At 40.8% G+C, this 27497-nt stretch overlaps 1 long non-coding RNA gene across 1 annotated transcript; it reads right to left on the bottom strand.

Annotated features, from left to right (window-relative positions):
* Window positions 1-4012: 4012 nt before the first annotated feature.
* PSMD7-DT (PSMD7 divergent transcript) lies at window positions 4013-27142 on the bottom strand. The gene is made up of 4 exons (NR_104657.1): window positions 26973-27142; window positions 21927-22126; window positions 17526-17786; window positions 4013-4347 (listed from the first exon to the last, which is right to left on the bottom strand). It is a non-coding gene; the product is annotated as a PSMD7 divergent transcript (long non-coding RNA).
* Between the last annotated feature and the right edge of the window lie 355 nt (window positions 27143-27497).

Here is a 27497-nt window from a genome sequence, read left to right on the forward strand (position 1 = left end):
TGATCCAATCACCTCCCACCAGGTCCCACCTCCCACACTGGGGACTACAATTTGATATGATATTTGGGCGGACACACAAATCCAAACCACATCAGGAGGTGTTTGGAACATGGGGGTGGGTTTCTCATGAATGGTTTAGCACCATCCCCCTTGGTACAGTCCTCCTGATGGTGAGTGCATTCTCGAGAGATCTGGTTGTTTAAAAGTGTGTAGCTTTTATATGACTGTAAGTTTCCTGGGGGCCTCCCCAGAAGCCCAGCAGATGCCAGCACCATGCTTGCTGTACAGCCTGATGAACTGTGACCCAATTAAACCTCTTTTCTTTATAAATTACCCAGCCTCATGTATTTTTTTGTAGCTATACAAGAACAGACTAATACAGTTCCTGATCATTGTTTCAATATACGTGTTAAAATTCTGGTTCGAACGTGCTTATTTTGCTCTACGTAATTTTATCTTGTTGCTCTTCTCCATATGTCTATTCAGAAAACCTCGAGGTCAAAGAACTTGTGTAATACTGCAGAAAAGAGTGCATACATGAAAGGGAAGGACTGAGATTGTGTCTAAGAGAAGCTACCAGATCAGATTTTTGAAGTCCATGTATGGAAGCAAAGAGTTTTCTTCGCACGGCCGTATTTTCCTCTGTCAGTGACAGCTCTTCAGAGAACAGCTCTGAACTCTGTGTTGATAGTGAGAAAGAATATTTACTTTCCCAAATTATTTGACCCTACCAGCTGTATACATTGGTGATCCAACATCAAAGACAATTAACAAATCCACTAAAGACACAAGGACACTTTTTGAAGTCAAAGATGTGCATATATTTTGTGTAACCAAGATCCTCTACCTTTAATTAATTAAAGCTATTGGTGGCTATGAATGGGTTTTTTAAATATTATTTTACAAGTCTTTCATTTCAGAGAGGGAAATAAAGCTTATTCATCCTTTGATATCCAGACACTGTAATCAAGACAACTGGGTTCCTACAGGTCAAAGACAACAAATTATAATTTACCACGCCATAAGAATAAACAAAACTTTAATTTATAATGTAGCTAAAGAGTTCTTCCTGTTGTAGAATTATGCCACGATTTACATGGTGATGACATCAAAGTCTTGTCCTCCAGACACACTTGTCCCCTTTACAGAAAGGGGAGAACCAGAGGACCCAATGCTCACCATTTCTCTTATGTAATATTGGGTGACCCTTTTACAAACAGCAAATACAGGCACTTAGTTGCTGAGAAATTATAGAGGGAATAAAAGCAGAGTGGTCAACTTTCTAAGGAGATTATAACTAAAATGAAAAGCAGAGGGGAAAATAAAAGTATTATACATATATTCCAGATAGCCTCTTCCCACACACACACAGCTACTGCTGTAGTTGCTGCTAGAGCCCCCATCAGTCTCTACAGTGCTTACCCAGCTTCTAGAGCCTTTGCCCAGTTTGCAGTGGGAGACATTCAGCCTCAATCCTTCCATTCCATTTGATTCCTTTAGAGGAGGGAGGAAGGAAGAGGGATAGGGATGGGTTCGAATTTTAAGATATTAGGACTCTGGATTCAGAAATAGCTTCAGGGAAGTTCAAGGTTAACCTTAATACCGTTTCAACTATTTCAACTACCTTACAGATACTAAGGAGAAAAGAGTGGTTATGTTTCTCTTCCAAGTTTTTTTTTTAGTGCTTTCTAGTTGATCCCAAGATTTCATTTTGATTAGCGTGGTAATACCAATGCACACACATTAACTAAAAAACTCAGAGTTCCATTGCTACTTAGGATGATGAATGCCATAAAAAGAATATTGCTCCCACTCTAACAACCACAAAAGAGTCAGATGATCTACAAAACTGTAACTATTCTTGAGCCCATCAGAGGGCTGAAATCATAACACAGCCAAGTAACCTGAATTCCAAAGAGGGACAAGCTTCCAAAGTTAGATTGCACACAAAGCTTTTTGCAGAACAGGGGAGACAGAGGTGGTCACCATTCAACTAGGCAAGAAAAAAAATCAGCCAAAATTTGAATGAATTCTTAAAGGGCAAGTGTGGGCTGGCATGTCAGTTTGGAAGAGCTAGGAGCCCCAGACACAGGGGAAGTTTCACTCACAATCTCATTTTCAACCTCAGTTTCATAAGCCTCCCCCTGGGTACACATACTGAAGACAAAGACAGGGACCAGAGCAGGAAACCTGAGAGAGCCATCCTTCAGGGACACATCTGCTGCTGATGGAGACAGGCACTGATGAAGACCCTTTCAAGCAGACACACTTGTCTGTGGAACTGGGCAGGAAATCTTGGGCCCAAGACTCTGCAATGATGCCAGACACAGGTCAGCTACTGCTAGGAGAGAGACAAAAAATTCTCTCCCACCTAAGACCAACCACAGATACAAGGCAGAATCCAGCTGACATAGAGAGGAGATGAAGGAATGCTGAGAAAACCCCAGTTTCGAGGCCCAGGCTTACAGGGCCTGCCTAAGACTGAGGTTGGAGCATTAGAAGAGAGAGTCCCCTCTGCCCCCACCCAAGCCCAAAACCAATTAAAAGCAACAGTAGTTTAACACTGGCAAGGCAAGAACGTGAAAAGAGACCCTCTGTGTTTCAGGCAAGCAAGGTAGAATGGGAACACTGAGAAAAGTCATCCAGTACTCCAGATCCCACTCTAAACTCAAGGGAATGGCAGCCATCACCAAGGGATTTGAAGCCTGTTCAACTCAGTCTCTTCATTTCTTCTCCATACAACGTCCAGCATTCAATAGAAAAGTACAAGACACACAAAAAAGCAAGATAAAGCATGCTATTGTCAAATGATTGACCAACAGGAGCAAACACAGAGATGACTTCGATGCTGAAACTACTGAACAGAGACTTTAAAATAACCATGATTACTGTGTTAAATGATCTAGTGAAAAAGTTAGACAACATGCATGAACAGATAGGAAATTTAAGCAGAGAGATAGAAACTATAAAAAGAGTCCAGTGGAAATGTTAGAAATTAAAACATTTTTAGAGATGAAAAATTCATTTGATAGGCTTATTAGCAGACAGGACACAGTGAATGTAAAGATAGATTAATAGAAATGTCCAAACTAAAACAGATAGAGAAAAAAGAATAAAAAGAAATTTTTTTTAAAAAAAAGTAGAGTTATGGGGCAAATCAAATGGCCTAAAGTACATGTAACTGAAGTTCAAGAATAGAGATAAATGGACAAGAATTTTCCAAAGTTAATGAAAAACAACAAACCACAGATCCAAGAATCCCAGAGAATCATAAGCAAGATTTTTTAAAGGAAAACAAAAATTAAAAACACTGATATATTGCATAGTCAAACTGCTGAAAAAATATTTAAGACAGGCAGAGAGAAAAAGAGACATTGCATTTAGAGGAAGAAAGTCAGAATCTAAAGTAGCATCACTGATTTCATTTAAAACCATAAAATTGTAACCCTCATATTGGGCAACTTAAATTTTATGTTAATATATGTTAACATAAAGTTTATGTTAATTTAACATATATTTTATGTTAAATATATGTTTCCTCATGTATTTTGTCTCCCTTATTTGACTATAGACATTAAGGAAAGAGACCTAGTCTTAACACTGTATTAATATTACATTTATCCTCTTCTACGTTGCTTGACAAAGCATGGGTATTCAATAAGCACTTCTGACTTTGGAGCAGATTCACTTTTTACATGATGTTTTTTTGCATAGGATCAGTAAACTTTTTCTTACAGGCCATACAAAGTCTTAAGATATAAAAGTACTTTTAGATTAGCTTTATGAAACTTTTAAAATTTATATTCTCTACCTTTTATTTTTCAGAAATAAAAATTTTTAAAAATGTGTGAAACTGGCTCTACATTTAGCAAAATGAGATCATGGAGCCTCCCCACTCTGATACTTCCTTTCTCCAGCATTTACATATTGAATTTTAGATAATATTGTTACCCACACAATGGGTGGGTTTTATCACTTGGTGGGTGACAGTCCAAAGACCACAACCAAGGAAGATTTAACAAAGGGATTTTATTACCTACAACAAGTAAGGAGGACAGCTGGGGCAGTTTCCCAAAGCAGTACCTCCCAAACAATGGTGAAAACAGCTTTCGTTAGGCTAGTTGGCTGAGCCATTGTATGCGGAGGCAGAGTAAAGGCAGAGACTGTGAAGTAGCTGATCATGCTTCTCCATATGTCACATGTGTAGGAAATGGCAGATAAGCTCCTTCCTGGGTGGGGTTTTTAGTATGGTAATGAGGAAAGTTTGCAAGGTTCATCTCCAACTCAGGCATCTCTGGACTCAACCAGTTTTTGTTCATCTAGAGCTGAGCTTCACTCTGGAACTTTCTGAAACTCAAGATGCAACAGTTACAAGTGGGTGCTTTTTCAGGGTGCATACCCAGAAACCTGGGGATCTTGGGTTACGATATCATATTCATCCACGTATTATTTTGTTATCTACAATTCTCCATGTGTAATTTGTCTTTTCCTCCACAAACAGATTGTCGATCCTTCAAAATAAGGTCTGTAATGTCTGTATTTTATATCTCATACACAATAGATGCATAACAAAATATTCGATTACTAATGTTTAAATAATAAAAATATCTAGGAATGTCCAGCTCTGACCTGCTACGTTTAGGTCCCAGGCCCAAGAAGAGGGAGCCTACAGTAAAAGATGTGGAGTCTATTGCTGAACTCGACCTTGACCTTCATCCACACTCTCCCCACTGGGCTCAGCTTCACCTTTCAGGCCTCACACACCTGTAGGTGGGGCCAGGTCTGAGGTTCCCTGACATATTTATCTCTCTGGTTCCACAACTATCATTTTATCCCCTTCTCATAAGCTTCATACCCAGTTCTAATTCCAGCCCCGGGAGTCAGGCTCTGGACAAGAAGTAATCTTGAAAGGTATGAAAACAAACAAATCTCTATATAAAGCCACAGTAAAAAGGTGATATGATTGGGTATGTAAACCATTCTTCTACTAGGATTATATTTAAGAGAAATGCAGCACATTTTCACACAACAAATATCTATGAAATCAAAGAACATAATCCCCAAATTATTAGTTTAGCAGAATGTTTAAATAAATGGAATGTTTAGCCTGCCAACTTCTCATACAAGTAGAATAATTATTCCACAAAAACGTCACACTCTAAAGCCTAGGATTTGCTGGTGTGCTCTTGCAAATACGTTTGCACCTAAGAAAATTCCAAGTATCGGAGCTTCAAAGATGAGAAACACTGAAGTGTCCAATCAATTTCTTTGACCCACCCAAGGTGTTACAATCTATTCTTGGTAGTTATGTTCTACTGAACATAATGGAAACACTGAATTAGGGAACACTGAACCATGGATCCCAGGAGAAATACAGTGTTGGGTTCCTGCAAACGTCGATCACAACATTTCTATCAATCAAGACATAACCTTGCTTTATGTGTTTGTTTAAATAAACCTTATTTAATATATTATTGATTCATTACCATTGAACTCAGAACTAAAGCACCTTAACTCCTACCTGAATAAAGCTTATCTAACACACGTATTTTCTCTGTAAGGCACTTCACAGCCTTCTGCTTAGGAATACTGGACACTACTTCAATACCAAGCTTCGGAGGAGGGAGGCATTTTAAACAGCAAAATCACTAGGAAATAGCACAAAAATGTGGAAAATATGGCACTAAGCAGACTGCAAATTTAAAAACACTTATTTACAAGAGCTGAAACAAGAAGACAGAGCGTTACCTTATTCAACATCATCTGGGAACATCCATGTCGGATAATTCAAATCCTTCATCACTCTACGCTTATCCACAAACGACTGCAAAAGCACCATAAGTACAGATTTGGGGGTTCTCAGGGATAAAGATTCTAGTGGGATGGCAGGAAAAACAACATTCTAATAGAGCTTTCTAAAAATGAAATGGGCCGACCCAGGAGAGGACTTTCCAGTCTTTGGCGTGGTTGTTTGTAATTCAGATCTGCCACTCCCAAATCAAATACACATCAGAAAATCTGGGTGGGAGGCTTGTTAAAAATACTCCAGTGTTTCTGACTTAGTAGATCTAGATGGGGCTCAGAATCTGTATTTTTATCAACAAATTTTTCATCACTCTACGCATGTCCACAAATGACTGCAAAGGCACCATGAGTACTGATTTGGGGGTTCTCAGGGATAAAGATTCTAGTGGGATGGCAGGAAAAACAACATTCTAATAGAGCTTTCTAAAAATGCAATGGGCCACCCCAGGAGAGGACTTCCCAATCTTTGGCGTGGTTGCAAAAAGGAAATTTTTGCAAATAGGCAATTTCACAAATACAGAATTTGTCATAATAAGCACAGACTTTATCTCCATCTCAAATGTCCTCCTCAATAGCCCAATTTGATACTTACCTTGCACATCCTCTGACATCTCTCAATTTTCTAACCATTGATCTTGTTACTTACTCATCAACACCCACCCACCCCCCTTGGCTCCAATGCACATTTTCATCCTTCCTAATTATAGAAGTGCTATGCTCAAGTTTGTACATTTCATTGTATGTAAACTTCATCTCAGTATTTATGTGACAAAATAAGTATAGTAAAATGTTAATAAGAGAATCTAGGTGGTGGGTATATGGGTGTTCACCGTAAAATTTTTTCAATTTTTTGTGTGTTTGAAAACATTCCTAATAAAATGGGAAAAGAGAAAGGAATCACATGTTCCAAAAACATTCTAAAAATATATTTAATGAAATGAAATTGAATCTTTCCCCAATCTTCCACCCAATGCCTCACTTCCCTTCATAATGTCTTCATCAGGTGGTCATATGGACAAGTGATTTCCAAATGCTGGTTCATGGACCAGCTGCCTCAGAATAACCCAGGTGCTGATAAAAATACAGGTTCTGAGCCACATCCAGACCTACTAAGTCAGAAACACTGGAGTGTTTTTAACAAGCCCCCCCACCCAGATTTTCTGATGTGTACCTGGTTTGGGAGTGACAGATCTGAATTACATACAACCACACCAAAGATTGGAAAGTCCTCTCCTGGGACAGCCCATTTAATTTTTAGAAAGCTCTATTCGAATATTGTTTTTCCTCCCATCCAACTGGAATCTGCATCCTTGAGGTCTTCCACTCATCTATTCTTTTTATTTTTGAGGCCATAGACTGAATCCCTCTTCCTCTTTATAATAATCACAGTTCTCATTATTATTATGTTTTTGTAGAGATGGGGTCTCACTACATTGCCCAGGCTGATCTCAAACTCCTGGACTCAAAAAATCCTCTGGCCTCAGCCTCCCAAAGTGCTGGGATTACAGGCATGAGCCCCCACACCCAGTCCACAGCTCTCATGATCAGTGCTGATTACATCGTATGACGGTACACTCTGTGCTACGCTCTGTGCACCCTCTCACGGTAGCCTTGTAGATGTCATGCCCCACCCCATCTTCCTACCCTTCCCAATACCAAGCAGTCAGAGCACCTTCACCTTCTGTGAAATCATGACATGACCTTCTAGTGTCTTCACCAACCTTTTCTGAAAACAGTCAAAAAGTAAACCTCAGACATTCTACTCTGCGTGAATGAATTTATCTAATCCTCTTTTTTTCCTTTTTTCTTTTTTTTTTTTTGAGACAAGAGTCTCACTCTGTCACCCAGGCTGGAGTGCAGTGCGGCGATGATCTCAGCTCACTGCAACCTCTGCCTCCCAGGTTCAAGCGATTCTCCCACCTCAGCCTTCCAAGTAGCTGGGACTACAGGCATGTGCCACCACGCCTGCCTAATTTTTGTATTTTTAGTAGAGCTGGGTTTCACTATGTTGACCAGGCTGGTCTCGAACTCCTGACCTCAGGTGATCCACCCGCCTCAGCCTCCCAAAGTGATGGAATTACAGGTGTGGGGCACCGCACCCAGCCTTAAAAAAAACAAACAAACAAACAAACAAACAAAAACCGCATCTCACTCTGTTGCCCAGGCTGGAGTGCAGTGGTGCAATCTCAACTCACTGCAGCCTCGACCTCCCAGGCTCAAGCGATCCTCTCGCCTCAGGCTGCCAAGCAGCTGGAACTACAGGCACATGCCAACCTGCCTGGCTAATTTTTGTATTTTTTGTAGAGACAAGGCTTCGCCACGTTACCCAGGCTGGTCTTGAACTCCTGGCCTCAAGTGATCCTCCCATCTCAGTCTTCCAAAGTGCTGGGATTACAGGCGTGAGCCACCGCCCCCAGCCTGATCTTCTTCTGAAAGTAGATCTTGACAGAAGTAGACACTAAACAACATAGAAAGGAGAGCCTGGAACCAGCTTGAAAATAACCATTGCCTACTTCACAGTTCTGCACAACACTGGCCCCATTTAAAGGGATATAATATGTTTCTCTATTCAGCTGAATAAAAGATTTCAAGTGATCTAGAAACCAGTTTCTACTATTTACAATTTAGACATGTTTGACTGAAATTTAAAATTAATCCTTTCAGCTGCCATATCCCATGAGCTAAAAAAAATTTGTATAATATCTCAGTGTAAAATAATGTCACCTTGAGGTCTGTTTAATTTTGCTTTTTTGAATAATATGTTCAAACATGCCTGCTAAATGCAGAACTTTAAACAAGCTGGACTGAAAGATTTTTTAATAAGATTTGGGGGATGAAATCACCAAGTCACCTGGTGTTTTTCAATAAAATTGAGACTTCTCAATTTTATAATTTTTAAATGAAGTATCATTGTACTCTGCTATGAATCAGATGGACACTAACTCTTTAGCAGCCTTTAGTCTAACCTTTACAAATGTTGGTATTCTGGGATGTGACACTTTTTTTATGAATGTGATGTCTGTGTTAATGTATTCATAATGTGTCTTGTTAATATAGCCATAATGTTTCTGGGATTATAGGTGTGAGCCACCACGCCCGGCCCCACTGGTAATTTTTAAATTGGTGTTTTCGAAATTTCGCGCATATTTAGCCACTGTTAGGTTGACCATAAAATTGCCATTTTTCTTGGCCAAAATGATTCAATCTAATGCTTACTTAATTTGGATTTTAAAAGGTAAAGCAGAAGTGCTGTCAGTTAGCAATTTTATTTCTTCTGCCTCCCATGGGAATAATTTTCAAATGTTTTCCTCTCTACTGTGAACTAAAGTATAATTTTCTACTTGTATGTTCTTTCTCATAATTTTGAAAACTTTAGACCAGATGAGATGGCTCATGCCTATAATCCCAACACTTTGGGAGGCTGAGGTAGGAGAATTGCTTGCGCCCAGAAGTTCAAGACCAGCCTGGGCAACATGGTGAGACTCTTTCTCTTAAAAAAAAAAATTAATAGCTGGATATAGTGGCATGCACCTATTGTCCTAGCCACTCAGGAGGCTGAAGCAAGAAGATCACTTGAGCCCAGGAGGTTGGGGCTGCAGTGAGCTGGGTTTGTACCACTGCCCTCCAGCCTGAGCAGCAGAGCAAGACGCTGCCACTAAATAAATAAATAAATAAACTTCTATCTATTTCCAAGACTATCTTGTCACCTTTTTGACTCAGTCATTCTGGAATAGCCAGCACCCATCCCAACTTTGGAAAACCACATGTTTACATGCAAAGTCAAGGATGACATTGAAAGACAGAAGAGAAATAAAGATATTTTGTATTCTTCTAAATATTCTTTAAATTCAAGTGACTTTTATAATTTTTATATAGAAAGTACTCAAAGTTATCTCATGATATGGCAGAGAGCCCTAAGGAATCCAGAAAAATTCAGCACCTGTAAAGATCAGAACTTGATGGTACAGAAAGAATTTTAAATAGTAAGTAAAATCTTTCCAAAAAGATGTTTACTTTTTGAATAGCATCCAAATATCACAAAGAGGATGTGGACAGAAGTTGCAGAAAAGAGTTCTATTTCTTTGTCGATATAAAAAATAAGAAATACTGCTTAATATACAAATGATAACTGCTTATGATGATGGCCATCCTAAATGCCCTGACTTGACCATTACTATGCATTTAAAAAAATATCACAGGCAGCTGGGCGCAGTGGCTCACACCTGTAATCCCAGCACTTTGGGAGGCCCAGGCAGGCAGATCACCTGAGGTCGGGAGTTCGAGACCAGCCTGACCAACACGGAGAAACCCCATCTCTACTAAAAATACAAAATTAGCCAGGCTTGGTGGTACGTGCCTGTAATTCCAGCTACTCAGGAGGCTGAGGCAGGAGAATCGCTTGAACCTGGGAGGTGGAGGTTGCAGTGAGCCGAGATCTCACCATTGCACTCCAGCCTGGGCAACAAACTGTGTCTCAAAAAAAAAAAATCACAGGTACCTCATAAATATGTACAAATATGATGAATCAATAAAACAAAATTTTTTTAAAAATACATCATCTAGAATAATTTATTATGAAATATTTTTTAACCAAGGCTCATGACTTACATTTTCCAATTTGGATTAAATATGTATTTTGAGTCTCCTGTCAGCTAATTCCTTACCAGAATTCACCAATATAAAATATTTTTCCCCTTCTGCGTTCCCTGCTACTGCCATTCACTCAGCCCTCAGGCTGCCTTATTTCATTAATTAGTTTTGATATGTACATTCCTGTCACCTATGTACACTCCTTAAGAAAAGAGAGTATGTCTCGACTATCTTTGTTTCTCCCGCAGGGTCTTGTACACTGGAAACATTCTTGTACACCAGATCTCTCTTTTTTGTTTAAATCAACTGTTTTTTCCCCTTGACTGATTTAATTACCCAAACCTGCATCTTCCCTCATCCATCTCTACTGCTATTTCCAGAAAGGCAATGGCCCAACAATATACAGTGGTCTAGGCACAGACACACAATAGTTTTATTTCAAATCTATAACTCAGGTGCTAAACAGATTCATGCACTTGAAGCAGCTGCGCTCCGTGTACTGTTCCCAGAATGTAAATAAGTACTGCGTTAAAAATTAATCAGGCATTTGCTCAAATACCTAATGGTCAATTCAGACATTTCAGGCTTCAACTTTAATAATACAAAAATATTTAATAATGTTAATCTTTCAGAACTGTGTCAATGGGATCATGGATGAGCTGACTCACTTCACTGAAGAAATTTACTCTCTGTAGAAAAATGTAAGCCTAGCAGATTCAAACTGTTTATACAAGATCTAAAAGAATCTCGGAGATATCTTTCAAATATGCATACAAAATATTTTCTGCCTTAATTCCAGTATATTACTTTTGAGTAGAGTGTGGACAGACTTCCAAGGCTCAAATATAAGGCTATTGTTTAGATACTATTTTAAAAGCACAATAATCACCTTAGTGATTGAAATAGTCTAGTTATTATCTGGATTTGGAATCAAGGGCCTAGGGTTGAATTCCTGGTTCTGTGACTACCTTATGTTGGGTGGACTTAGATAAGGCATTTAATCTCTCCTAGTGTGTTTTCTTATATCTAGAGTAAAGAAACTTCTGATACCTGTTTATCTATTTAAAATAGATATTTTGAAATCAAATTAGAGCAGAGTTCCCCGAACTTGGCACTGTTGGTGTTTGGGGCCAGATAATTCTTTGTTGTGATTCTGAGCATGGTACGATGTTTAGCAACAGGTCCGGCCTCTACCCACAATGCCAGTAGCACACATGCACACACATGCACACACACATACACACACACACTCCCCAGTTCAGTTATAACAGCCAAAAGTGTCTCCAGATGCTGCCAAATGCTGGGGTAGGGGGGAAGTGACACACACACCCATCCCTCTGCCCACTGAGAATGAATGAATTAAATGACTTATATGGAAACCTTCATTAATACATTGAATATATACTGATCACCTACTATATGCCACACACCGGCCAGGTCAAATCAGATGTGATTCATGCCCTCTAACAGAGCAGATGAATAAATCAGTGTTTGCGGTGACAGGAGTTTAGGAGCCCTTGGGGTCAGGAAGGGGGAAGGGAAGTGTAACATTAAGATATCAAAGAGTAGAAGCCACGGGAATTGGTGATTAAATGGATGCAGGGGAATAAGTAAAGGGAGGAGAGAAAAACAATTCTTACAACATCAACAACAGTTCATTATTATTTATTACCTAAGTCATAAGAATTTTTCCACAAAAACAGGGACATTTCCCAAAAGAAAGCTCATACCACATAAATGTTCATAAAAATAAATATTGACTTCACTGTGGCTGCTTTCATTTTAACCAGTGGCGAGACACACATAGACAAATGACTCCGTTCTTCCATTCCATTTGCACTTCTATCTCTAAATTCTCAAGACCAACAGAGGTTAGTTAGTCTCCATGCCATAGTTAGACTATCAAGGTCCACAAAGATTGTAGGAAGGGGGTGACGGACAACATGCATCACTCATGGGTTTTTTATTGCATCCACTGAAGAACACATTCTTTTAACATTGTCTAAGAGTTCTGTTAGATATCAACTTTGAAAACCCAAGTCAAATGCATTTGTGCCATCACCAAAAGAAAATAAGACCTAAACCAGGGTAAAAAACAGCCTTTCCTTCATGACCCTGGAGATGTATACCTTTTCAGAATATTATTTGCATGTGAGGTCCTCAACAGAGGTGACTCTATTACCTCTCATCCCTGGGGTACAGCAAGGCAACAGCTATCCCATTATCTCATGGCACTTTCTAGTTCGTGTGAAACCAGTAACGTGTAGTTTCAAAACACAGAACATCGCCTTCATCAGAGGAGAGCTAGTTAAAGGCTGCAAATGGGGCCCTTCGGCTCCTGGTCCTGCAGAGGTATTTGGAGGAGGTCCATGTGCCTAACCACATCAATTTCAGATGAAATTCTCATTGCAAATGTATATTACCCAACACCTCAAAATGTATGAAGGCCTTCCTGGTTTTTAGGGCTTACAAGCCCCCTGACAATAGAATTCTTTGTGGAAATATCAAAATTCGAGTAACAGAGACAATTTTTGAGAGGATCAAAAATAGAAACCATTATTGGAGTATAAAAACAATTTAGTTGCTTAAGAATCCATATTTCTAAGAAAAGCAGCTTTGTTAACTGACATGTGCTCAATAGGCAATTTTCCCCATTTAATTTTCACAAATAGATCACTCTGAAATGTATTTCCCCTAACAAAGACTGCACATTAACGACAAATGATACATCTTCAGATTTTAATTAATGTCAAGAGCTTTATTTTGCTTCCAAGCAACTTATAAGAGACATGTTATTAATATAATTTAATTTAAGGGGACAGGCATTTGTTTTCTATTTTTAAAAAGGTGGTTTGAAATTCTGGCCCTGTCAACATCATTTAAACATTCCTGTTCCATGCTTCAATATAATAAATTGAATCAGCATTTTAATTGTGCCCATGCTTTGTGGTTCCTGGCAGGACAAAAAGATTCTCTGTGAGTGCATGACTCCCCCCAAGAAAACCCCACTGAGTGATTAATTACTAGTCTGGAAGATATAAATATGTCTCTCAATAAAGACAGTATGGACTGCTGGAAGCTCTGGCCTTATACATCTCCATGGGGTGCCTTAACTAAGCAGACATCCTCTTAATTCAAACAAGATTCTGGCTCCAGCATTCACGGACGGCTCCCTCATCATACACTGTTCCTTTACTGAACAGCATATTTCTTTTAATTAGCATCATTTTGTGTATGTATAAGAATCAAAGGAAATCGGCTTTTATGTACAAATATATCAAATTTTCAAGGTGCCTCTGTTCCTTAAGAAAGAACTGAGGACAATAGTAAATAACCTTGCATTTTCAAAAAAGTACCATCTTTGTATAAATACATTTTAGGTTACACCCAGACATTACTCATGCTTCATTCTGAGTTAAAGGTTTGGCCAAAAGACCATAAATTTATAAACGAAAACACGAACCGGCAGGTCTATAAGTCTATTCCTAAGCCTCACACCTATTGTATGAACCGAGAAGCCTCATGATTGCTAGAAGGGAGAGGAGCTTAGACAAAGGACTCATTGCCACCTCCCCTTACTCCATATAGTAAAAACAAGAATTGATGGAATTCCTAGGACTGTTCCTACAAGGCCAGAATTAGGTAAGAAGAGTTTATACTAACCATTTAAACCAGAAATTGCAAGCAACGTCAACTAACTTGAAAATAAAGATTAACACAAGAAATCAATACTAGAAGTTGGCTTTTTTAAATTGGAGAATAATCACGTATAAATTTTTAGTCTAATACTTTGCATTAATAATCATGGCATTTATTACTACAGTTGAATAACCACATCCCAACACCTTTTCATTATGTTTAAAATGAGGGGGTGGGGACAGGGGAACAGGATTATCGTAAGTCATTTTGACCAGTCTAGAAATCCAGACATCAGGCCGGGCGCAGTGGTTCACGCCTGTAATCCCAGCACTTTGGGAGGCCAAGGTGGGTGGATCGCTTGAGTCCAGGAGTTCAAGACCAGCCTGGGTGACAGCAAAACCCCATGTCTACTAAAAATACAAAAATTAGCGGGTTGTGGTGGCACACACCTGTAGTCCCAGCTACTTGGGAGGCTGAAGTGGGAAGACTGCTTGAGCCTGGGAGGCAGAGGTTGCAGTGAGCTTAGACTGAAAAAAAAAAAAACAAACAAACAAGGAAATCCAGACATCATGTTCCTAACCATCCTATTTGAAAGAGGATGAAAGAAAGGTGTTCTAAAAAGCCAATATGCATTCTGCCATGGGAAAATATTACTTGTATACAGACTTTGACTCTCTTACTATTCATATCTTTACCTGGCCTTGCCAAAGATATTTTTGAGCAGGATCATCAAACATAAATGCAAGCATTAAATCAGTAAGCAAACATGAATCTGAATTGGAGTTCTGCAGTAGACTGCAAAAATGGCCATAATATTTAAGCTCCTCCCATCAAGAGGTAGAGTATATTTTCCCACCCCTTTAATCTGGGCTGATCTTATGGCTTGCTTTGACCAATAGAATGTGCACAAATGGAAGCATATCAACCCTGAGCTGAGGCCTTAGGAGACCCTACAGCTTCCATTCTCAAATTCTTGGAACTCTGTGCTCACCATGGGAACAAACAGAGTGGGCTGAAAGAGGTTCAGAGCCAATGTGGTAAAAGGTCCCAATCATCCCAGCTGTCCCAGATGTGGCTCTGATAAACCAGTCAGCCCACACAATCTATCAGTTAACTACAAGTACACAAGCAACCTCAGACAAGATTAACTAGGTTTGGCCCACACTAGAAGAACCACCCATCTGGCTGGGCGCGGTGGCTCACGCCTGTAATCTCAGTGCTTTGGGAGACCGAGGCAGGTGTATCACCTGAGGTCAGGAGTTCGAGACAAGCCTGACCAACATGGTGAAACCCTGTCTCTACTAAAAATACAAAAATGAGCCGGGCATGGAGGCACACACCTGTAATCCCAGCTACTCAGGAGGCTGAGGTAGGAGAATCACTTGAACCTGGGAGGCGGAGGTTGCAGTGAGCCAAGATCACACCACCACACTCCAGCCTGGGCGACAGAGCAAGACACCATCTCAAGGGAAAAACAAAAAAAAAGAAAAAAAGAACCACCCAGCTGAGCCCAGCCAAAATTGTCAACCTGCAATATTATGAGCTACATTAAATGGGTAGTTTTTTTAAACTATGAGTTTTGGGGTGGTTCATTATGCAGAAATAGAAAGCTAATATAGGTTCTATAACCTCATTACCCAATATTTCCAGGCTTTAAGCTCCAGTTTAAGTTTCCCATTATAGCCTTTTTCAGGTACTAGCATATATACTCTTTTGACCCATTTCCTTTTGAATTCTAATGCCACTTTTTCTGTAACAAAATTCAGCACTTAGCTAACCAATTCCCTATATGATTTTCTAAGGTGTATATAACCATTATGCTTCACATACAAATAGAGGCAGAGACCATGTTTTATGTTAATTTTTATTATCTAACACATAAGACACATAGTAGGTATTCAATAAATGCTTGGTTTGATGTGAAAGCAGCTAGAGTTTGCAATAAGAGTTTTAAACTTCATGTGCTAAACTTTTCTTATTTGTTACATGTAAATAATATTATCCTGTGTTACCACAGGGGAGATTGAGTAATTTTTAAACTTTTACACTCCTTTACAAATATAAAATAGAGTAAATTTTATAATAAGAAAGCAAAAAACAACTAGATAAAATTTAAAATTTCTGTATATAGCAAAAGTCACAAAAAAGCAATTAAAAGACAGTGACTGGAAGAAAGTACAGAGAAAAAAACGAAAAATCCATAATATACAAAGAGCTCCTATGAAGCAATGGAAAACTGAGAAAAAGATATAAACTTATGGTATTCAGAAGAACCAATGAAAAAACTGAAAAGATGCTTAATCTCACAGATAATCAGCAAAATGCAAATTAAAATAAAGTGTTTTATCATTTAGTAAAAAGACTAAAGAAGATATAATATTGGTGAGTATATATGGAAATGGGCCTTCTTGCATACTGTGGATAGGAATATAAACTGGCTTATAGGAGGAGAGTTGGGCAATATCTATCAAAATATTAATAGGTACATCACTTGTAACCCAAAAATATTTACCGAAACCTTGTTTTTAGTATTTAAAAACTGGAAAGCTAAGTATCCATCAATACTCTCATGGTATACATTGATTAATCTATATACAGAAAACTATGCAAAAATTTAAAAGAATGTGATGACGTCAGGAGCAGTGGCTCATGCCTGTAATCCCAACACTTTGGGAGGCCAAGGCAGGGGAATCACTTGAGTCCAGGAGTTCGAGACCACCCTGGCCAACATGGCAAAACTTCATCACTACAAAAAACATAAAAATTAGCCAGGCGTAATGGTGTACCCCCACAGTCCCAGCTACATGGGAGGCTGAGGTGGGAGAATTGGTTGAGCCCTGGAGGTCAAAGCTACAGTGAGCCGTTACTGTGCCACTGCACTCCAGCCTGAGCAACAGAGCAAGACCCTGTCTCAAAAAAAAAAAAAAAAAAAAAAGAATATGATGAATTTTATGTACTGACATGAAAGATCAAATAACATTAAGTTAAAAAGGCAGTTTGCCGGCCAATATGGTGAAACCCCATCTCTACTAAAAATACAAAAATTAGCCAGGTGTGGTGATGGGCGCCTGTAATCCCAGCTACTCAGGAGGCTGAGTCAGGAGAATCACTTGAACCTGGGAGGCGGAGCTTGTGGTGAGCCGAGATCGCGGCACTGCACTCCAGCCTGGGTGACAGAGTGAGACTCGGTTTCAAAAAAAAAAAAAAAAAAAAAAAAAAGGCAGTTTGCCAAAAAGTGTGCATAGTGTAATACCATTTTTTAAAAGAAGTATATAAATGCATAGAAAAAGGCTAGAATGATACACACCAAAATAATACTAATTTACTAATTATGTATTTGTATTATTAATAATGATTAGTAAATAGGACGGGTTGAGGGCCATTGGGAGAGTAAAGGAAGACAATAATTTTTATATGCTTATGCATTATTTGGATTTTTCACAAGCATGGATTTATGCGATATGTGTGTAACTTGTTTATACTGCACATACCTGGGCAGCAGAGGAGAGCAGAGCAAAGATGGCTTCAAAAAAGGAGCCAAAGAAAGAGCTGGGTCTTCACAGAGGAATTCTTCACTTTTATCCTGGTTCAGACCAGCCAGATGGTCGGCATTGCCATAGACATGAATATATATTAGCACCAGGTGCTCCTGCCACGTCTTCCTCTGTGGCTCAGGAGACACCGAGCAGTAAGCTGTGCTGGCGACCCTGTGTTCGGCCTCTCAGGAGCACGGAGGAGCCTCTCCCTGCAATCTGGAATCAAGATAAATAAGATGAGCTCCTGAAAGTTAAACTTGAAAAACAGCACAAACTGGATCAGAAGAGAGAGATGAGAGGTCACCTACATCATAATGAAGCTAGAAGTTACCAATTACCAGGCAACCTCCCCATGCCAAACACCGCGGACTTTCATACCGTATATCTCACTTCATCTTCACAACGCACCTAAGGTTGCTTATTATTATTGAAAGGAAAAATAAGGTTAGAGGAGTTCAAGAAAGTGGCAAGGGTTCCATACAGTCTACGTGGCCGTGCCAGGGATTTGAACTCAGTTCTGTTTAATTCCAATGCCTATGTTTTTGGGGTTTTTTTTGTTTGTTTTTGTTTTTTTTTTTGAGACAGAGTCTCACTCTGTCGCCCAGGCTGGAGTGCAGTGGCGCGATCTCAGCTCACTGCAAGCTCCATCTCCCGGGTTCACACTGTTCTCCTGCCTCAGCCTCCCGAGTAGCTGGGACTACAGGCGCCCGCCACCACACCCAGCTAATTTTTTGTATTTTTAGTAGAGACGGGGTTTCACTGTGTTAGCCAGGATGGTCTCGATCTCCTGACCTCATGATCCGCCCACCTCGGCCTCCCAAAGTGCTGGGATTACAGGCGTGAGCCACCACGCCCGGCCTCCAATGCCTATGTTCTCAACTAACATGGTATGCTCTCTCCCTTAACAGACACAGAAAGGCTTCAGGGTTGGCAATACTTGACTATATCCTTGCTCTATGTGTAACAGGATACAATGAATCAATTTTAAAAAATCATATTGCTTAGCCATGGAAGTACAGAGCCAAAAGCTTCAGAAAAGCACATGGTAATAGTGCCAACTCAAATGCTTCCCGGGCAATAGGGTCCCTGGCTCAAGCAACAGGCCAACTAAGCCACCTGACGTGTAGACAGAAAGCAAAGTTCTCAGCTTGCCAGGAAAAAGGCCAGTGGTTAGACTGTGGATTCACTGAGGTAATGTCATCCCAAGAAGCCTCTTAAGAAACAAACAGCTCATCCATGAGCCCCACGTGAGTTATTTTCCTATTTGGAATATCTATGGTCCAACTGGGATATTCCCACTGTCTCATGTTACCTTAGGCCTGTTTCGAATTCATACAGTCTACATGATTGACACAGGCAATGTCGAAGAACATGTTTCCCACAAAACTGTCACAAACCCAGGTCAACTGGATTCCCCTACAGACCCAGAGTTAATATATAAAGAACTAGGGCAGCCAGGTGCAGTGGCTCACACCTGTAATCCCAGCACTTTGCGGGGCTGAGGCGGGAGGATTGCTTGAGCTTAGGAGTTTGAGACCAGCCTGAACAATATGCAAAACCCCATATTTACCAAAAAAAAACAAAAATACAAAAAAATTAGCCAGGCATGGTGGCATGCACCTGTACTCCCAGCTACTCAGTAAGCTGAGGCGGGAGGATCACCTGAGCTCAGGAGGTCAAGGCTGCAGTGAGCTGTGAGCTGTGATCCTGCCACTGCACTCCAGCCTAGGTGACAGAGTGAGAACCTGTCTCAAAGAAAAAAAATGTTCTAGTAATTCACTTGTTGAAAAATACACAGTAAGTGCTTACTCTGGGTCAAGCACTGTGCTAATGAAGGAAATAATAAGGTAAATAAGTCAAGATTCCTGCCCTCAAGCTTTAGTAGGAGACACAGAAACAAATAATCACAATCCTAAAAGATGGAGATTGCAATAAAAGAATGCACAAAACACTATGGGAACACAGAGGATGGAGTAAGTAAGTTTGGCAGAGAAGGGAGAGATCTTCCTAAAACCACAGTCAGTTGGTGAGAGAGGGGATCACCCAAAAAATGAGGAGAGATCTTTAATAAATGCAAAATGAAGAGAGTAAAGATCTGCACCCAGTGAGGAAGTTTAGAATAGCTGAGATTATAACATACGTGCATCTCCAAGCCTCTGGCTGAGCCTGAAGTGATGAATCCTAAAAATCTACTTCCTCAAAACTCCACAAGCCTCTGAAAGACACAGAGAAACAGCCCCAATTGCTTAGGGAGCCAGCGCTGCAAGAAGTTTGCTCCCCTGAAGCTGTTGACAGTTTTGACTCTTAGGTGAATCTTTGGAGAGGATGCAAACAAAACTCTCTCGTGTGCATTTAAGAAGTTCTCCTGTCATAGCCTGGCGTGGTGGCTCACAACTCCCATCTCAGCACTTTGGGAGGCCAAGGCAGGGGGACTGTTTGAGCCCAGGAGTTCGAGACCAGCCTAGATAATGTAGTAACATCCTCTCTCTACAAAAAATTATGCAGGTGTAGTGGTGTATGCCAGTAGTCCTAGCTACTCAGGATGCCAAGGCAGGAGGATTGCTTTAGCCCAGGAGTTCAAGACCAGCCTGGACAACATAGTGAGATCCCATCCCTACAAAAAAAATTTTTTTTAATTAGCTGGGTGTGATGGCATATGCCTGTAGTCCCAGCTACTAGGGAGGCTGAGATGGGAGGATGGCTTCAGCCTGAGGGATTGAGGCTGCAGTGAGCTGTGAGCACACCACTGCAATCCAGCCTGGACCACAGAGAGAGACACTATCTCAAAAAACAAAGAACAAGAAGTTCACTGTCACTGCCATTTGAGAATGGAATGATCTGCACATCCACAAATGGAAAGAAATAGAATGAAGATTACAAAAATTTTATTTAGTATAAAGTTGAAGGGCACGATGGTAGGCCAAATAACGTGCCCCCAAAGATGTCCACAATCTTAATCCCTAAAACCTGTGAATACACTCCCTTACGTGGTAAAAGGGACTTTGCATATATGATTAAAGATCTCAAGAAGAAGGGAATGGGATATAGAAGCAGGGGCTGGAGCAATGCACTTTGAAGATGGGGAAGAGGCCATGAGCCAAGGAACACAGCTTCTACAAGCTAGAAAAGACAAGGAAACAGATTCTCCCGGGGACTCCCCCAGAAGGAACACAGCCCTGCCAAGACCTTGAGCCCCATACGACTTCTGGCCTCCAGAACTGTAAGAGAAAACATTTGTGTTCTTTTAGGCCACTAAATCTGTAGGAATCTATTGCAGTGCCGATAGGAAACTAACATGAGGGAGGGCGTTTTCTCCAAAGTCCTCAAAGCCCAAATAAATAGTGTTTTATCAATCCTCTCAACATCAGACAAAGGAGAAAGAAAATGGAGGAAGAGGGAGGTTAAAGTGAGTCATCCAAAATGAAAGCAAACAGCAGAGCAGGCCCAGGCATTTCATTTTGATGATTTATCAAAATTACAGAAAAAGGCCAGGCGCAGTGGCTCACGCCTGTAATCCCAGCACTTCAGGAGACTGAGGCGGGTGGATCATTTGAGGTCAGGAGTTCAAGACCAGCTCGCCAACATGGTGAAACCCTCTCTCTACTAAAAATACAAAAATTGGCTGGGCATGGTGGCACACACCTGTAGTCCCAGGTATTCAGTAGGCTGAGGCAGGAGAATCGCTTGAACCTGGGAGGCGAAGGTTGCAGTGAGCCGAGATCACGCCACTGCACTCCAGCGTGGGCAATGGAGCAAGACTCCATCTAAAAAAAAAAAAAAAAAAAAAAAAAAAAAAACACAGAAAAGAAGATGGGGCTCTGTATTTGGTTATCCTCTTTGCCAGTAGGATAACGTCTATCTCACAGAAGTGGTACAAACTGACTCCACAGCCAGGAGGGCCCGGCAAACTCCCAAGATTAAACAAACAACAACAAAAAAAGCATATTAGTATTAGCCACAGAGATGCAGAGAGAAAACTCTCTTGCCCTGCCACAGCAGTCAAAGTTTGTGCTAATGTTTGCGGGAGAAAAGGGAGAAAACAAAGTGAGGAAGAAAACATATCCGCATCATTCATATCCCCAAGCAAACAGACTCAGGACGCTGGGGAGTGCCAAATTTAGTTATTTGCAACTTTCCCCACTTGCAGATCCCTTGCAAATACATTCAAATGCAATCATCAATAACATCACCTCTTAAAATAAACATCTTTTCATTTATGAATTTTCTCCCCCGTTTTGACCATGTGAAACCTGCAAATTTAACATATGCCAGGAGAGGATGGTAACAAGGTAGACAATCTCCAGCTAAGAAATTTGAAAAAATATATAAATAAAGAATAGGGAGGGAAAAATCAACCTTTGATGAAATAATTGCTTCTGCTGTTATTTTTCACTATTACTTCAGAAATGTTCTCTCTCTCTCTTCCTTTCTTGTCCCTATAGCGAGGTGCCCTGCTGTTGTGCAGATGAAAGGTCCAGTCTCTTTAAAATTTCATGCAGAGCTCTTCACAACATTGAAGCTTTAAAGGCCCATGGCAAATTCAACATATTGTTACACTTGATGGAAGGAGATAAAAATTACATGCAGAATTTACTGTATATTCATTGTCTGGAAATACTATACAATTACAGCTTCCTCTATTTCACTAACAGATATGGACATGTATTCTGATTTCAATATTTAGAAATACAAAAGATGCACATGGAGTGAGTATTGTAGCAAAAATAAGAATGAAACTTGAATCTTCTGAGGTTAGATTAGGGTCCTAGGATGTGTGAACAGTTTTGTTCATAGTTTTCCTAAATTGCTTTAGATATGTGAAACATATTTAAAAGACAACAAAAGATACAAAGGGAATAAAAAAAGATTTCCTAAAACTTGTACATAGCATGGGGTTCTTTGCACTAAGTCGTCTTTATTTTTGTATCTCTATGAGAAGAATATGGGAATGGCTAGGCTTTTATTTTTATGTATAAAATTATCTCAAAAAAAAATGAATAGCAAGAACTGCAGACGTTGGAATGAAGAACACGATGACCTCAAAAGCAAGTTTGTCAGTCACTAGTCTTTGAGCTTTAACTGTCATAGGTAAGCCTTATTTTAAAGTTGTTTTTAAATTCACAAATTGGACATCACTAATTTTAAATCTAAAGTTTAGGTTTGTGCTTTATTGTAGCTGTTTTTATGTAGACCCATTTAGTCAAACTCATTCGTGTTCATTCATCCTCTTCTTTCAAACATTTATCAGATATCTACTACATGCCAGGCACACTGTTAATTATTTGGGATGAAAAAACAGGCCAGGTGTGGTGGCTCATGCCTGTAATCCCAGAACTTTGGGAGGCCGAGGCAGGCAGATCACTTGAGTTCAGAGTTCGAGACCAGCCTGGCCAACATAGCGAAACTCCATCTCTATCAAAAATACAAAACTTAGCCAGGCGTGGTAGCACCTGCCTATAATCCCAGCTACTTGGGAGGCAGAGGTGGGAGGATCACTTGACCCTGGGAGGTCAAGGCTGTAGTGAGCTGAGATTGTGCCACTGCCCTCCAGTCTGGGCAACAGAGCAAGACTCTGTCTCAAAAAAAAAAAGAATAAAAGAAAAAAAAACAGGAAGATGGGATCCCTGACTCCAGGGGGATTATAATAGGAGGAGGCGAACACAGCAAAGGGTTTGTGCAATAAAGCTTCAGGGGTCCTATGGAAGTAGATCTGGGAACATCATGGTGGCACAGAGAGTGTTTGATTTGTTCTTCCTGGAGGAAGAGGGGAAAAAAAACACATGCAGGGATCAGTCCTTGACTAGTGACTGGGAAACTGTCTAGGTGCTGATGGAAAAAACCAAGCCAGTGGTAGTAGCTGGGAAGGGGGATAGAGCTCAGAAAAATCAAGAATACAAAATGAATAGCACCTGGCTACTGAACAGAAAGCAGGAGCACAGGAGAGCAGGGTGAATCCCGGGTTTCTAATACTGGGATTGTCCACCGGCCCATTCACTGTTTCCAGTCATTTACTACCTAATACGTGCCAGGCACACTTCTAAAAATACTGGAGACACAACAGTAAACAAATCGCAGAAGAACCCAACTCCCTAAATGTAGAAAGGACAAATGGAAAACTAGTAAACAAACGAGGAAGCAATATTAAAATAGATAAGTGCTCTGAAGAAAATAAAACAGCAAGATGTGAGAAAGAGTAACTCGGGGAGGGCGGCTACTTTCTATTTGGGTGGTCAAGAGAGACTTCTCTAAAGAAGTGACCCTTGAGTCAAAACCTGAAGGCTGGAGAGGAGAAAGCCATGCAAAGACCCAGGGGGAAGGGCACTCTGGGAGAAGGAAGAACACGTGCAAAGCCTCTGAGGAAGGGACAAGGTTGGCAGGTTCAAGGAACTGAGAGAAGGCCGATTTGGCTATGGCACAGTGAGTGAGGGGAAGTTGCAGAGGCAGGCAAGCAGGGCTGGTCTCGATCTCCTGACCTCGTCAGATCACATAGGTTTTTACAGCCCAGGGAAGGAGCTTGGATTTTAAATATGATGGAGTTTAATGTTTATTTTAATTTTGAGACAGGGTCTTGCTCTGTCACCCAGGCTGGAGTGTGGTGGCACACTCATGGCTCACTGCAGCCTTGACCTCTTGGGCTCAAGCAATTCTCCCACCTCAGCCTTCTGAGTAGCTGGGACTACAAGTATGCACCACCATGTCCAGCTAATATTTTTATTTATTCTAGAGATAGAGTCTTGCTATGTTGCCCAGGTTAGAAATTGTGCAGGTTTTATGCAGCGGAGTAACAAGAGATCATTAGAGAAATAGATCAGCAAGTAAGAAGGAATCAGGCCAGTTTAGAGGCTTACAGTGACCTGGGCTGGAGATAACAGTGGCTTGGACCATCAACCAAGAAAGGCGGCAGTGCAGGTGAGAAAATTCAGACACTTTCAGAGTCCCTTTCAGACTGACAGGTCCTATTAAAGGATTGACAGTGCAGAGTGAGGAAAACAGATGAAATGGATCCCTAAGCTTTGGCTTCAGGGACTGAGTAGATAAAGCAATGAACATGGGGAAGATTCCAGGGCAGAAGCCAGGTAGGGGAGGGAGATCAAAAATGGTTTAGGACATGTTAGGTTTGAGACGCCTCTTATACATCAAAGTGGAGGTACCATGTGGGCAGTCAGTTATATGAGACTGAAACTCAGAGGAGAAGGCAGGGCTAGATAATCCTTTAGGAGTCTGTCGGTATATAGATGAAAAGTCATGGGACTGAATGAGATTAGCTGGGGAAAAGTGAATAGGTTAAGAGACCCCAGAGGCTCCCCCACACGCAGAGGTCAAGCAGAAAAGACTAAGATCCACAAAAGAGCCCAAGAAGCCACAGCCACCGAGGTAGGAGGGAAACCAGGAGAGAGTGTGATGTCACAAAAGCCAAAGGGACAAATAGTGTTTCAAGAAGGGGGAAGTGGTCAGCTACAGGGAAAGCACTTGAAAAGTCGAGGAATGTGAGGACATAGAAATAACCACTGGGGTGGAAATCACTGAGGTTGTTGGTGACATTAGAATTTCAGTGGAGTGGAGAGGACAGAAGATGGACAACCGTGTTAAGAGAATGAGAAGTAAGGAAGTAGAAACAGCTGGCATCAGCAACTTTTACGATTTAAATTTGCTGGTGAGGCCAGGCACCATGGCTCATGCCTATAATCTCAGCACTTTGACAGGTTGAGGTAGGAGGATCACATGAGCCCAGGAGTTTGAGACCACCCCTAGCAACATAGACAAACCCCATCTCTAAAAAAATAAAAAATAAATAAATAAATAGCCACCTATCACCCAGCTACTTGGGAGGCTGAGATGGGAGGAGCGCTTGAGCCTGGGAGATCAAGGCTGCAGTGAGCCGTGATCGCGCCACTGCACTCCAGCCTGGGTGACAGAGCGAGACCCTGTCTCAAAATAAAAATAAATAATAAAATTAAAACTAAACAAATCTATAAAGGACATTTCCAAGTTTAGGAAATTTGAATATAGACTATAAATTAAATGATATGATTGAATCCATGTGGATTTTCTTGGTTGTGACAATGATAATGTGGTCATGTAAGAAAATGTTCTTTTCTTAGACGGGGATGTAAGAATCCCTTATACCCCTGATAAGGGATGAAGTGACTTGCCATCTGCAACTTCCTGTCAAATGATTTTACAAAAAGACAAACACATTGATTGATTGATACAAATATGGCAAAATGTTAACCATAGGTGAATCCAGGAGAAGTTTCTTTAGATGTTTGTGCTATTCTTTCAACCTCTCTACAGATTTAAACTTGTTTCAAATAAAAATTGCATGGGGGTGGGGGAAGATGTAGATTATAGAAGGCTGAGACAGTCCTCTCCCCACTAGATGTCCCAAATCATAAACTCTGGAGACAAAACCCAGTAATCTGCTTTTTTTTTTTTTTTTTTTTGAGACAGAGTCTCACCCTGTTACCTAGGCTGGAGTGCAGTGGTACTATCCAGCTCACTGCAACCTCCACCTCCCAGGTTCAAGTGATTCTCCCACCTCAGCCTCCCAAGAAGCTGGGAATACAGGAGTCCACCACCATACCCAGGTAATTTTTGTATTTTTAGTAGAGACAGGGTTTCGCCATGTTGGCCAGGCTGGTCTCGAACTTCTGGACTCAAGTGATCTGCACACCTCAGCCTCTCAAAGTGCTGGGATTACAGGCGTGAGCCACTGCACCTGGCCAAGTAATCTGTTTTTTATAAAAGTTCCTAAATTTTTTTAGCAGCTAGACTCTGATTAGCAGCTAGAATTGTGACTGTATTCATTATCTATTGCCACATGCAAACCACACTAAAGCTTATTGGTGGCTTAAAACCACCACTATTTTATTTGCTTACACATTTATGGGTCAAGAATTTGAGTAGGACTCAGCGTAGCAGTGGCTCCATTAGGACTGGCGGACTCAAGACTGCCTAACTCATACGTGTGGCACTTTGGGGCTGGTTGTGCTCCACACAGCTTCTCCCTCCAGAAGAGCCTGGCCCTCTTTACATAACGGATGGGTCCCTTCCATGGGAACAGAAGCTACAAGACCTGGGCGTGGAAGTTGAGAACATTACTTCCATCCCTTTGTATTATTCAAACCAAGTTGCAGACCAGCCTAGATTCAAGGGGATAGAGAAAGAGATCATTCCTTTTTTTTTTTTTTTTTTTTTTTTTTTTTTGAGACAGAGTCTTGTTCTGTCACCAAGGCTGGAGTGCGTGGCTCACTGCAACCTCCGCCTCCCAGGTTCAAGTGATTCTCCTGCCTCAGCCTCCTGATTAGCTGGGATGCACACCACCACGCCCGGCTAAGTTTTTGTATTTTTAGTAGAGACAGGGTCTTACCATGTTGGCCAGGCTGGTCTCGAACTCCTTACCTCAAGCCATCTGCCTGCCTCAGCCTCCCAAAGTGCTGGGATGACGTGAGCTACTGTGCCCGGCCAAAAGAGACCATTTCTTGATGGGAAGAGCAACAATATCATGTTACAAAGGGGTGTGGATGCAGGGAGGCATTGATTCACTGGGAGCTGTTATGATGATGATCTACTACAGACACCCACTAAATTAGACTACCAAAGCCCCACCTTAAATAACACAAGCTTTTGTTATATCATAATTATCTTGTCCGTATGTAAATGGTTCCTCTAAAACTGCTTGAAAACAATTCATTTTCTTAATTTTATAGAGTCTTGCCATTTTCAGATGCTATTCATTTGCTCAATAGACCATAAGCATTACAGAAAATTCAATCTCTCGCACTGGTTCCCAGCCTCTGGGACCAAAATTTAGATCCCAGTAGTTCTGAAACTAAAGGACAATAGAAAAGATTTTAGAAGAGTCTCAGAAAGTTCTCACCAACCTCACAGACAAATGGAGAGCAGAGCTAAGATGGCTGCTCTCCC

Source organism: Homo sapiens, chromosome 16, assembly GCF_000001405.40.
Source record: "Homo sapiens chromosome 16, GRCh38.p14 Primary Assembly".
Lineage (NCBI taxonomy): Eukaryota > Metazoa > Chordata > Mammalia > Primates > Hominidae > Homo > Homo sapiens.